Here is an 11,004-nt window from a genome sequence, read left to right as displayed (position 1 = left end):
GTAGAGACGAGGTTTCACCATGTTGCCCTGGCTGGTCTCAAACTCCTGACTTCAGGTGATCCACCTGCCTTGGCTTCCCAAAATGCTGGGATTACAGGTGTGAGCCACCATGCCCGGCCTGGACCTACCTCTTTTTTTTTTTTTTTTTGAGACGGAGTCTTGCCCTGTCGCCAGGCTGGAGTGCAATGGCGCAATCTTGGCTCACTGCAACCTCCACATCCTGGGTTCAAGTGATTCTCCTGCCTCAGCCTCCTGAGTAGCTGGGACTACAGGCACACGCCACCACGCCCAGCTAATTTTTGTATTTTTAGTAGAGACGGGGTTTCACAATGTTTGTCAGAATGGTCTCGATCTCTTGACCTCGTGATCAGCCCACCTCGGCCTCCCAAAGTGCTGGGATTATAGGCATAAGCCACCGCGCCTGGTCCCTGGAGCTACCTTTTTAAGTTGAACTTTGAGAAGCCAAAGAGAAAAAAAGATTAAATAAAAATTTAATTTTTTTTTTTTTTTGAGACAGAGTCTCACTCTGTCACCCAGGCTGGAGTGCAGTGGTGCGACCTTGGCCCACTGCAACCTCTGCCTCCCGGGTTCAAGCAATTCTCCTGCCTCAGCCTCCCGAGTAGCTGGGATTACAGGTGTATGCCACCATGCCCGGCTAATTTTTGTATTTTTAGTTTCACCATATTGGCCAGGCTCGTCTCGAACTCCTGACCTCAGGTGATCCACCCGCCTTGGCCCCCCAGAGTGCTGGGATTACAAGTGTAAACCACCATTCCTGGCTAGATTTAATTTTTTAAAAAATAAAGAGAAGTAGGAATAGTTCATTTTAGGGAGAGCCCCTTAACTGGGACAGGGGCAGGACAGGGGTGAGGCTTCCCTTAGTTCAAGCTCACCTCAAACCCACCCAGGACTGTGTGTCACATTCTCCAATAAAGGAAAGGTTTGCTGCCCCCGCCTGTGAGTGCTGCAGTGGAGGGTAGAGGGCCGTGGGCAGAGTGCTTCATGGACTGCTCATCAAGAAAGGCTTCATGACAATCGGCCCAGCTGCTGTCATCCCACATTCTACTTCCAGCTAGGAGAAGGCGGCTTGCCCACAGTCACCCAGCCGGCAAGTGTCACCCCTGGGTTGGACCCAGAGCTATGATCCTGCCCAGGGGTCCAGCTGAGAATCAGGCCCACGTTCTAGGCAGAGGGGCTCACCTACTGGGACTCCAGTAGCTGTAGTGCATGGAGGCATCATGGCTGCAGCAGCCTGGACCTGGTCTCACACTGGCTGTCCCTGTGGGCAGGCCATCCTCAATGCCAGGTCAGGCCCAAGCATGTATCCCAGACAATGACAATGGGGTGGAATCCTCTCTTGTCCCAGAAGCCACCCTCACTGTTCTACCTGAGGAAGGCAGGGGCATGGTGGAATCTGAAGCCTGCTGTGAGGGTCTCCAGCGACTTGCACATGGTCAGCCCTGCCTTCTCCTCCCTGAACTAGATTGAGCGAGAGCAAGAAGGACATTGAACCAGCACCCAAAGAATTTTGGGGAACGGCCTCTCATCCAGGTCAGGCTCACCTCCTTTTTAAAATTTAATTAATTAATTAATTAATTTTTTTTTAGAGACAGAGTCTTACTGTGTGGCCCAGGCTGTAGTGCAGTGGCACAATCATAGTTCACTGCAGCCTCAAACTCCCCACCTCAGCCTCTGGATTAGCTGAGACTACAGGTGCACCACCACCACACCCAGCTAATATTTTTATTTTTGTAGAGAGAGGGTTTCACCATCTTGCCCAGGCTGGTCTCAAACTCCTGGGCTCAAGTGATCCTCCCACCTCAGCCTCCAGATTAGCTGAGATTACAGGCATACCACCACCACGCCTGGCTAATATTTTCAATTTTGTAGAGACAGAGTTTCACCATCTTGCCCAGGCTGGTCTCAAACTCCTGGACTCAAGTGATCTTCCCACCTCAGCCTCCCCACGTGCTCAGATTACAGATGTGAGCCATGGTGCCCAGCCTAGCCTGCCCTCCTTGGCTGAGAGTGAGGCCCTCAGCAGAGAAAGAGATTTGCTGATGCTCCACTGCCTTTGAAGGAGGAAGGAGCCACAGGCTAAGGGGTGCAAGGAAGATAGCATGAGAAGCTGGGAAGGGCAGGGAGCAGCTTCCCTGAGAGCCTCTGGAGGAAGCACAGCTCTGTGGACCCTCATTTCTGCCCAGTCAAACTGATTTCAAACTTCTGACCTCCAGAATATATAGGTGTTGTTTTAAACCCACAGTTTGTGGTGATTTATGATAGTGACACAGGATTTTTCTTGGTCATTCTGCCGGCCGGAGACCCCCAGCCAGTGACACCCCTGTCCAGGAAGATGTCAGCCCTGTTACCTGCTCTGGCCTGTGGCTCCAGAGCTGGCTCAACCCTAGCACTGTTACAGCTTTCTTTGTACCCTCACTTGGTGGGTCTCAAGCTCTTGTCCGGAGTCCAAGAAGAATGAGGATACGCTGACAATCAAAGGGTGAGGAGGACAGAGAATAATTTTGTTGAGTGATGGAACAACTCTCAGCAAAGAGGGGATGTGAGAGTGGTCCCGCACCCCAAGTTGGGCAGTCTCTCCCTCAGTGTGGCTGGGTCTAGGGCTTTTCTGGACTCAGAATGGGGAGTGCATGCTGATTGGCTTGTGAGTATGCAAAACGAAGGCTAAAACAAAGGCACCACTCAAAGGTGGGCATGACAGTGTAAAAAACCAATTAGGCACTTTGGGAGGCCAAGGGGGGGGCAGATCACAAGGTCAGGAGTTCGAGACCAGCCTGGCCAACATGGTGAAACCCCGTCTCTACTAAAAATACAAAAAAAAAATTAGCTAGGCATGGTGATGGGCACCTGTAATTACAGCTACTTGGGAGGCTGAGGCAGGAGAATCTCTTGAACCTGGGAAGTGGAGGTTGCAATGAGCCAAGATCATGCTACTTCACTCCAGCCCGGGTGACAGTGCAAGACTCCATGTCAAAATAAAACAAACAAACAAAAAAAAACACAATTAGGGATGGGGAGGTATATGTAAAATAGGAGAAGGGTGGGGATCAATCAGAGGAAAGCGTGCCAAATGGATGACAGGGTCTTAATCTGGTCCATGGATTTGAGTTGTAGCGTTGCTTTCAGGCTTTAAACTGTCTTTGGCTTGGAGGTGGGGTTTCACTGGGGACTTGCCCCTATCTGCCAAGATATTTGTCTGTCTCCTCCTGCCACTTATTTTTTTTTTTTTTTTTTTTTTTTGAGACGGAGTCTCGCTCGCTCTGTTGCCCAGGCTGGAGTGCAGTGGCGCAGTCTCAGCTCACTGCAACCTCTGCCTCCAGGGTTCAAGTGATTCTCCTGCCTCAGCCTCCTGAGCAGCTGGGACTACAGGCGCACGCTGCGACGCTCAGCAATTTTTTTTGTATTTTTAGTAGAGACAGGGTTTCACCATGTTGGCCAGGCTGGTCTCGATATCCTGACCTGGTGATCCGCCCGCCTCGGCTTCCCAAAGTGCTGGGATTACAGGTGTGAACCACTGCGGCTGGCCATCCTGCCTCTTTCAATAGTGGCAATAGGAAACTCAAACCTATGGCGACCTGGAAGGAAACACAAAGCCCTTCTAGGCCCTAAGGGTTTGATCCTCAAAGGCTCAGCAGGCCCAGGGGGTGACAGGAAGCTGCCTTGCTTGGGCCAAGCTAGGAAACTAGATCTGCTGCCCCACTTGGAGCCCAAGGGCCAGGCGTGCTGGGTGCACTTTCCACCCCCTTGGCCAGCTAGCAGTCCCTGGGTGACTTTCTCAGCCTGAGCCTCTCTGGGCTTGGGAACAGTCCCATCCCTCTCTCAAAGCTGGGGCTGCACCAAGCTGGCCTCTTCCGGGAGTCTGGACCAGACTTCCGAGGCTTTGGCAGCATTTGGTGGGCCTGGGTCTCAGGCCTGTCCTGCTCCTTGGGGTCCGAGGCTGGGGCTGGTTCACAGTGCCAGCATCTCTCCTTAGCCCAGCCGAGGGTGAACGAGGGTTAGGGTTAGGGTTAACCCTAACCCTAACCCTAACCCTAACCCTAACCCTAGCCGAGGGTGAACGGGGTGGTGTGTCTGTCCATGGGGTTTCCTCAGAACCCCACCCACTCTGGCCTCTGAACTTGCACGGGGAGAAGGGGCTGGGGAGGGAGTGCCTGTGCATGATGCGGACCTGGAGAGGTTGCCTCTGCGGCCAGTGGGGGACCAGGGGCTTGTCAGGCCTGACACAGGCAGCCAAGTGATAAGTGCAGGCCTGGAGCCCTCTGAGTCCTGGGGAATTGGATTCTTGGCGGCACAGCCCCTCCTCACTTCCCCCTGGCCCTGCCCCTGGCTTCAGAATGCACCCCCAAGGTGGCCTGGATGTCATCAGGCGGGGAGGTGTGGGGTAAGGGGCAGCACGCTCTGAAACGGGGTTAGCATGGACATGGCCCCTCACCCACGGGGCCCACAGTGGGCTGGCAGAGGGGCAGGGGACCATCCCCGCCGAGCCGACCCTCTGCCTGGAACAGCCTCCAGCTGTGCATGCCCCTGTCGCACTCTGATGGGGTGTGGCCCACCGTGTCTGCGATGGACTGGGCACCCTCCTAGGCAGGGGAATGTGAGAACTGCCGCTGCTCTGGGGCTGGGCGCCATGTCACAGCAGGAGGGAGGACGGTGTTACACCACGTGGGAAGGACTCAGGGTGGTCAGCCACAAAGCTGCTGGTGATGACCAGGGGCTTGTGTCTTCACTCTGCAGCCCTAACACCCAGGCTGGGTTCGCTAGGCTCCATCCTGGGGGTGCAGACCCTGAGAGTGATGCCAGTGGGAGCCTCCCGCCCCTCCCCTTCCTCGAAGGCCCAGGGGTCAAACAGTGTAGACTCAGAGGCCTGAGGGCACATGTTTATTTAGCAGACAAGGTGGGGCTCCATCAGCGGGGTGGCCTGGGGAGCAGCTGCATGGGTGGCACTGTGGGGAGGGTCTCCCAGCTCCCTCAATGGTGTTCGGGCTGGTGCGGCAGCTGGCGGCACCCTGGACAGAGGTGGATATGAGGGTGATGGGTGGGGAAATGGGAGGCACCCGAGATGGGGACAGCAGAATAAAGACAGCAGCAGTGCTGGGGGGCAGGGGGATGAGCAAAGGCAGGCCCAAGACCCCCAGCCCACTGCACCCTGGCCTCCCACAAGCCCCCTCGCAGCCGCCCAGCCACACTCACTGTGCACTCAGCCGTCGATACACTGGTCTGTTAGGGAGAAAGTCCGTCAGAACAGGCAGCTGTGTGTGTGTGTGCGTGTATGAGTGTGTGTGTGTGATCCCTGACTGCCAGGTCCTCTGCACTGCCCCTGGGCAGCCCCTGCCCCACCTGGCCCAGCTGCAGAAGATATGGGGGTTCCTTTCAGAGATGGGGCAACAGAGGGGTGGATGGCAGGGCAGGGGATGTGGGAGAAAGGCCTGGGGAGGGGCTGCCCTGAGTGAGGCCCAGCTCCCAGGCTCCTCGGGCACCCAGGTCTCCTGCCTGTTTACCAGTCCAGGCAGTCTCTCAGCCTGGGGGAGGCCAGTGGCTCTCTGAATGGCCTGGCTGGAGCCTCCTGCCCAAGCCAGGCTCCCTGGAGTCAAGGACAGCTCCCAAGTCAGTGGTGAGCAAGTCCCCAGGGGAGAGAGGACAGCCAGGACAGCAAAACCCAGGGTGACGAGGCCTGGGAGGGTCGGGGGAGATGGCCCAGAACAAGGGGGCCTGGGAGGGTGGCCAGAGGTGTCAGGCCAGTGAGACTGAGAAATGGATACTCAGGCCTGGGCCTGAAATCCTTGTCTGGGCAGACCCGGGCTAAACTGCCAGGAAAGAGCACTTGCGGCCTGGGTCCCTGGGAGTCCCATAGACCCTGGGGTGGGGCACAGTCTTCCTGGGCCCAGAGTGGCTTCCAAGGAGCTCCTGGACCATCCACTGCTCCAGTGACTGAAGCTGAGGACGGAGTCCCTCCTCTCCCTGATCCCTGGTAGGGAAGCATCCTGCCTGAACAGTCCCCATGTCCCCGTCCCCTCATCCAGACTGGCCATTACCGATTGGGACAGGGAAGACGATGTGGTTTTCAGGGAGGCCCAGAGATTTGGAGAAGCGGATGAAGTTCTCCTTTAGTTCCGAAGTCAGCTCCTTGGTTCTCCCTGTGACCAAGATGGCCAGTGAGTGGCTGGCAGACACCACATAAATATCGTTGAATGAGTAGATGAGGCCTCAGATCCCTTCCTCATGGGGGACCGGCCTCCCCTCCCACTAAGTGTGATCAGGAGCCAGTCCCCGAGGGGATGGGAGAGGACCCACCGTAGAGGGTGATCTTGAAGTACTCCCTGTTTTGAGAAACTTTCTTGAAGAACACCATAGCATGCTGGTTGTAGTTGGTGCTCACCACTCGGACGAGGTAACTCGTTAATCCAGGGTAACCTGCAGGCGTGGACGGTGAGGGGTCAGCCCTGCCCTGGATGGGAGGAGGGAGCTGTCCCCTCCCTCCCCAGCCCATCAACGTGGGCTTCTCCCCATACAACACATCTGTGTGGAGGGGCAGGAAGGTCTGTGCCCCTACCCAGCTCCCCGGAGCCCCAACTCAGTGCCCCACCTCACTCAAGACTCACTCTTAATGTTGCCCAGCGTGAACTCGCCGGGCTGGCAACCTGGAACAAAAGTCCTGATCCAGTAGTCACACTTCTTTTTCCTTGGGAGGGAGAGATGGGTGGGTGAGAGGGGAGACAACCCAGGCTTGGGCCTCCTGTGCTGGACAAGGTGGGGCCAGGGCAGCAGCAGGGTTCTGTTGCTCTCAGTCCGGCCCAACCCGTGACAGCTCATCCCCCACTACCTGGAGGGGCCCTACCCCACCCAGCCGAGATGGGCCTGGGCCTTCTCCCTGAGCTGACACCAGGCTGTCCCTCCTGGCCTGCCTGGGGCCCCTGGACCCCACTCAGACCCTCCAGCACCCGATGTCCTTCTTTCCTTTGGCTGCCTCCCTGGGTGGCTTTCACCCCCCCCGCCACCCAACACACAGAAACCCTGCATTTCTCCCCTGCACTCAGCTTGCTGCTTCCCTTCCTATACCCTCTCCCGGGGATCCACCTCGGTACTTCCAGTCTGCTCCATGCCAGCCGTTCCCCTAGCTCTCGGGTCAAACCTGACCCCATCCTTGAGTCCTCCCACTTCCCATCCCCTGGCACCCCAGGGCTGAGCTCCCCAACCTGTCTGTATTCTGCTCCTTGCTCCACAAATGCCCCAATCCCAATCCACTCAGCTGCCAGAGTCAGAAACCCACTGGGGGCGGCTGATCCCTGGCTCCCTGCCTCTTCACCCTGCGCCTGTTCTCTCACACCTGTGACGGCCCCGCTTCACTTTCGCTGGTCTCCCGACCCCCTAGGCTGCACCCCACCAAGTCTCCCCACCCTGCGGCCCAAGAGCCCTGCTCTAAGCCACTCCGCAGCAGATCCGCTGGGGCGGGGCCTGAGGACCGTGCTAGGTGCTAGCGTGGCCACCTGCCCCTCCAGGCTGCTCAGCAGCTCTGCTCAGGGTGACCCTGCGATGGCTTGCTCCTTCCTGAAGGGGGGGCTCTCTCTGACTCCAGCCCCTGCCGGGAACACCCCACATTTCCTTTTGAAGCAGGTTGGCTCTTTTAAGGCCACCTCCCTGGAAGCCTTCCATGAAGGCACTGGGTGGGGTTCCAGGCTGGATCCAGTGTCCCCTCCTCCCGCTCCCAGGCACCCCTCCTCTCTCCGTCTTGTTTTCTAACGACTGTGCATGTCCATCCCCACCACTGTCTGTGTGTCTGCATGGAAATGTGCTATAAACGTTGCTCTAAGGAACAGAGGAAGGATGAACACAGATGAATTCCGGGCAGAACAGCGAGGTGAACGACAGGATCCCTCAGCTTTGGCCATCCCTTGCCTGTGACGTCAGTCTGACTCTCACACCCCCAGGAGATGTCGGCCCTCACCTAAACAGGACGGAGGTGACATTGTAGCTCTTGTCTTCTTTCAGCTCATAGATGGTGGCATACATCTTTTGCGGGTCTTTGTCTTCTCTGAGAATTGCATTCCCTGCCAGGCCTACCACATACCACTTCCCCTGGAACTGCAAGGGACTGATAAGAGGCACAACCCAGGAATGGCCCTAGGAGCCACCCCTCCAGCTCTGTCCCTGTGGCACCTCTGGGCCGCCCAGCTTGGAACCATGAGCCCCTCTAGCTGGGCAGCAGGGCCCAGGCTGGGCCTGCACTGGTGAAGGGGCAGGAGCAGGAGGCCATCAGTCCAGAAGGGAGTCCTGGGGGAAGAGGCGGTTCTGAGTCTGGCAGGGAGGAGGGTGACCTCCTCACTGGAGGAGGCATGTGGCTGGTGGGCCTTCCTGAGCCTCAGTTTCCTCATCTGTGCAGGGGGACTAAAAGTGCTCCCACCTTCTTTGGACAATGGGGGTTATGGGAGAGGGGATGTGGACCTGGGGGAGTCTGTTCAGGCTGAGAGGGGGTGGGGATGGGGGGAAGGGGCATGGTTTCCACCAGGGGACCCTGGTGGCACAGAGTGAGCTGAAACCTGGACCCTGGACTCCTAGAGTCCTGCCCAACGCTCTTCCTGAGTCTCTTCACCTCTCCTCCCCTCTGCTCCCACTCTTCCCCAGGCCCTGCCTGCAGGTGCCCCTCTTGGCCCCTTACTTGGTTGTCCTGGAAGTTCTGCTGCAGAGGGACCTTGCTCAGAGGTGGGGCTGGGATCAGGTCTGAGGTGGAGTCCTGGGCCTGGGCATGCAGAGCCCCCAACAGGGCTAGGCCCAGCCACAGGAGACCTAGGGGCATGATTTCAGGGCCGAGGAAGCAGGCGCTGTGGTGGCTGCTGGGCCTGGCAGGGGTGGAAGAGGAGGTGGCGAGTGAGAGGCTCACCTGGGTGGCCCTATTTATGGGATCTAGGGTGGGTTGATTCATTCTTTGCCAAGGCCAGGAATGTGAGGCAATTGCCAGCAACTCCTGCGGAAACACTTGGCAAGATTTCTGCACCTGGTCAGGATTGGGCAAGACAGAGGGACGGGGAGAGTGAGGGACATTCCCGGAGTGCTGCACCTCTGGCAGGGACAACGACTCCCTCTGTGCCTTCCTTGTGCTGTTTCTTTCTTCTGATTGCCCTGTATGTGGGCCGGTGGCCTGTGAGCCGGAAGAGCTGTCATCTCTGACCCCCCTGCTCAGCTGGATCCCAGGGTGGGGTATGTGCCCTGTGGTCCCCTCCCCACACCCACAGAAAGGAAAGAATGAATGCCTCCTTCCAACAGATCATGTGCTGTTTCCTGGTTCTTTTAAGGGTCAGGGAAGGGTGGGGTGGCTGACAGTGGACAAGGAAAAACAAGGCGTCTGCTCTGAACTCATGGAGCCCAGAATCATGGCCCTCCCAGGAGCCCCAGTCCAGGACCTGCATGTGCTCCAGGGGCCTTGAGACAGCCCCTTGCCCCTCTCCTTGCCCCATTTGCAGGAGGGGACCCCAGTGGACCCCTGAGGGACCCTTCCTCTCCTGTGAGTGCAGTGGGAAGAGACCCCACACAGGGCACATGGGTTGAGTGCTGAGGCTACAGTCCCTGTCCTGGGTGAGTTGGGCTGATGTGTGGGGGCGTGAAGGCGCCACACTGCTGCTCTGGACACCTGTTGCTTTGGGTCACTGACAGTGCAAGGATCTGGCCTTATCCTTGAGGTCACTGAGACCATCCCCCTGACTCTAGTCACAGCCTTTTTCCATTGAACCCAGCAGCCCAGGCCAGGGGTTCTGGAACTGTCACCGAGATGGCTGGTCCCAGCCTTGTCCAGCAGGGAAGCAGTTATCTCAACGGGGGCCTGGCTGGCATCCTCGGGAGGCAGCGATGGATCGTAGGCCCTGTGCAGTGTCCGCAGAGATGGCTCACCCATGAGGGCTGAGGCCGTCCTGGATGCCTGACCTGAGGCTGGACTGAGGGTTCGCTGGTTTTAGAGCTTTCAATGGGACTAACGGGGACCTCACTGGCTCTGCCTACGTGCTGCTTGGGATCCCCAATCTGGGCTTGGGGGCAGCAGGGCCTCAGGGAAGGGGCTCTGGGAGTCCTGAGCTGGGGTTAGTCTAGAGAGGCACCCACTGGATCCCTGCCCCCTCAGGCCCTGTCCTGCCTGCCCGATTGGATGATGAAAGGGCAGGAAGCAAAGATGAGTAAAACTGCAGGGGAACGATGTTGCACCAAAGCCTTCCCTTTCTAGAGGTAGCCAGTGGCTACTCGCTCCCTCCGAACCCCCTCTTCCCCTCATGACCCTGTTCCCAGGAACTCCACCTCTGCTACTGTCTTTGACCTTAAAAAGTATCCTCTGCCAGGCCGGGTGCGGTGGCTCACATCTGTAATCCCAGCATTTGGGAGGCTGAGGCGGGTGGATCACGAGGTCAGGAGTTCGAGACCAGTCTGGCCAACACGGTGAAACCCCATCTCTACTAAAAATACAAAAATTAGCAGGGCATGGTGGCAGGCGCCTGTAATCCCAGCTACTCGGGAGGCTGAGGCAGAAGAACAGCTTGAACCTGGGAGGCGGAGGTTGCAGTGAGCCGAGATCACGCCTTTGCACTTTAGCCTGGAACAGAGCGATATTCTGTCTTAAAAAAAAAAAAAAAAAGGTATCCTCGGCTGGGCGCAGTGGCTCTCGCCTGTAACTCCAGCACTTTGGGAGACTGAGGCGGGTGGATAACCTGAGGTCAGGTGTTCAAGACCAGCCTGACCAACATGGTGAAACCCTGTCTCTAGTAAAAATACAAAGATTAGTTGGGCATGGTGGCGCATGCCTGTAATCCCAACTACTCGGGAAGCTGAGGCAGAAGAATTGCTTGAACCTGGGAGGCGGAGGTTGCAGTGAGCCAAGGTTGCGCCATTGCACTCCAGCCTGGGCGACAGAGGGAGACTCCATCTCGGGGAAAAAAAAAATGTATCCTCAGGGACTAGCCTGGCCAATATGGCAAAACCCCGTCTCTACTAAAAATACAAAAATTAGCCAGG

General features: G+C 57.2%; 1 protein-coding gene across 2 annotated transcripts, besides 4 other annotated features; it reads right to left on the bottom strand.

Moving 5' to 3' along the window:
• Nucleotides 350-545: a silencer, noted in NCBI's record as "fragment chr9:130920069-130920264 (GRCh37/hg19 assembly coordinates)". NCBI's record gives its function as "represses an EF-1alpha promoter that drives an FKBP-Casp9 reporter gene in an ReSE screen in K562 erythroleukemia cells {active_cell/tissue: K562}" and the evidence as "EXISTENCE:reporter gene assay evidence [ECO:0000049][PMID:32094911]".
• Nucleotides 1,819-2,019: a silencer, noted in NCBI's record as "peak7335 fragment used in MPRA reporter construct". NCBI's record gives its function as "represses an SCP1 promoter by STARR-seq MPRAs in K562 erythroleukemia cells {active_cell/tissue: K562}" and the evidence as "EXISTENCE:reporter gene assay evidence [ECO:0000049][PMID:32103011]".
• Nucleotides 3,920-4,591: an enhancer, noted in NCBI's record as "H3K4me1 hESC enhancer chr9:130916023-130916694 (GRCh37/hg19 assembly coordinates)". NCBI's record gives its function as "activates a minimal SCP1, AML or CMV promoter by ChIP-STARR-seq in naive H9 embryonic stem cells {active_cell/tissue: H9 hESC(naive)}" and the evidence as "EXISTENCE:reporter gene assay evidence [ECO:0000049][PMID:30033119]".
• LCN2 (lipocalin 2) lies at nucleotides 4,882-8,882 on the bottom strand. Of its 2 annotated transcripts, NM_005564.5 has the most exons (7): nucleotides 8,672-8,882; nucleotides 7,961-8,097; nucleotides 6,618-6,697; nucleotides 6,310-6,429; nucleotides 6,051-6,152; nucleotides 5,209-5,235; nucleotides 4,882-5,024 (listed from the first exon to the last, which is right to left on the bottom strand). In NM_005564.5, the coding sequence occupies exons 1-6, from the start codon at nucleotides 8,807-8,809 to the stop codon at nucleotides 5,216-5,218; spliced, it is 597 nt and encodes a 198-aa protein (NP_005555.2). In that variant the 5' UTR covers nucleotides 8,810-8,882; the 3' UTR covers nucleotides 4,882-5,024; nucleotides 5,209-5,215. The 2 variants fall into 2 exon arrangements, with proteins under 2 accessions (NP_005555.2, XP_047279332.1); XM_047423376.1 differs by having other exon boundaries at nucleotides 4,882-5,235.
• Nucleotides 7,483-7,532: a silencer, noted in NCBI's record as "silent region_20327". NCBI's record gives its function as "represses an Ori minimal core promoter by ATAC-STARR-seq in GM12878 lymphoblastoid cells {active_cell/tissue: GM12878}" and the evidence as "EXISTENCE:reporter gene assay evidence [ECO:0000049][PMID:35858748]".
• Nucleotides 8,883-11,004: the final 2,122 nt, after the last annotated feature.

Source organism: Homo sapiens, chromosome 9 (genome assembly GCF_000001405.40).
Source record: "Homo sapiens chromosome 9, GRCh38.p14 Primary Assembly".
Classification (NCBI taxonomy): Eukaryota; Metazoa; Chordata; class Mammalia; order Primates; family Hominidae; genus Homo; species Homo sapiens.
This window is presented reverse-complemented; position numbering and strand designations above follow the sequence as displayed.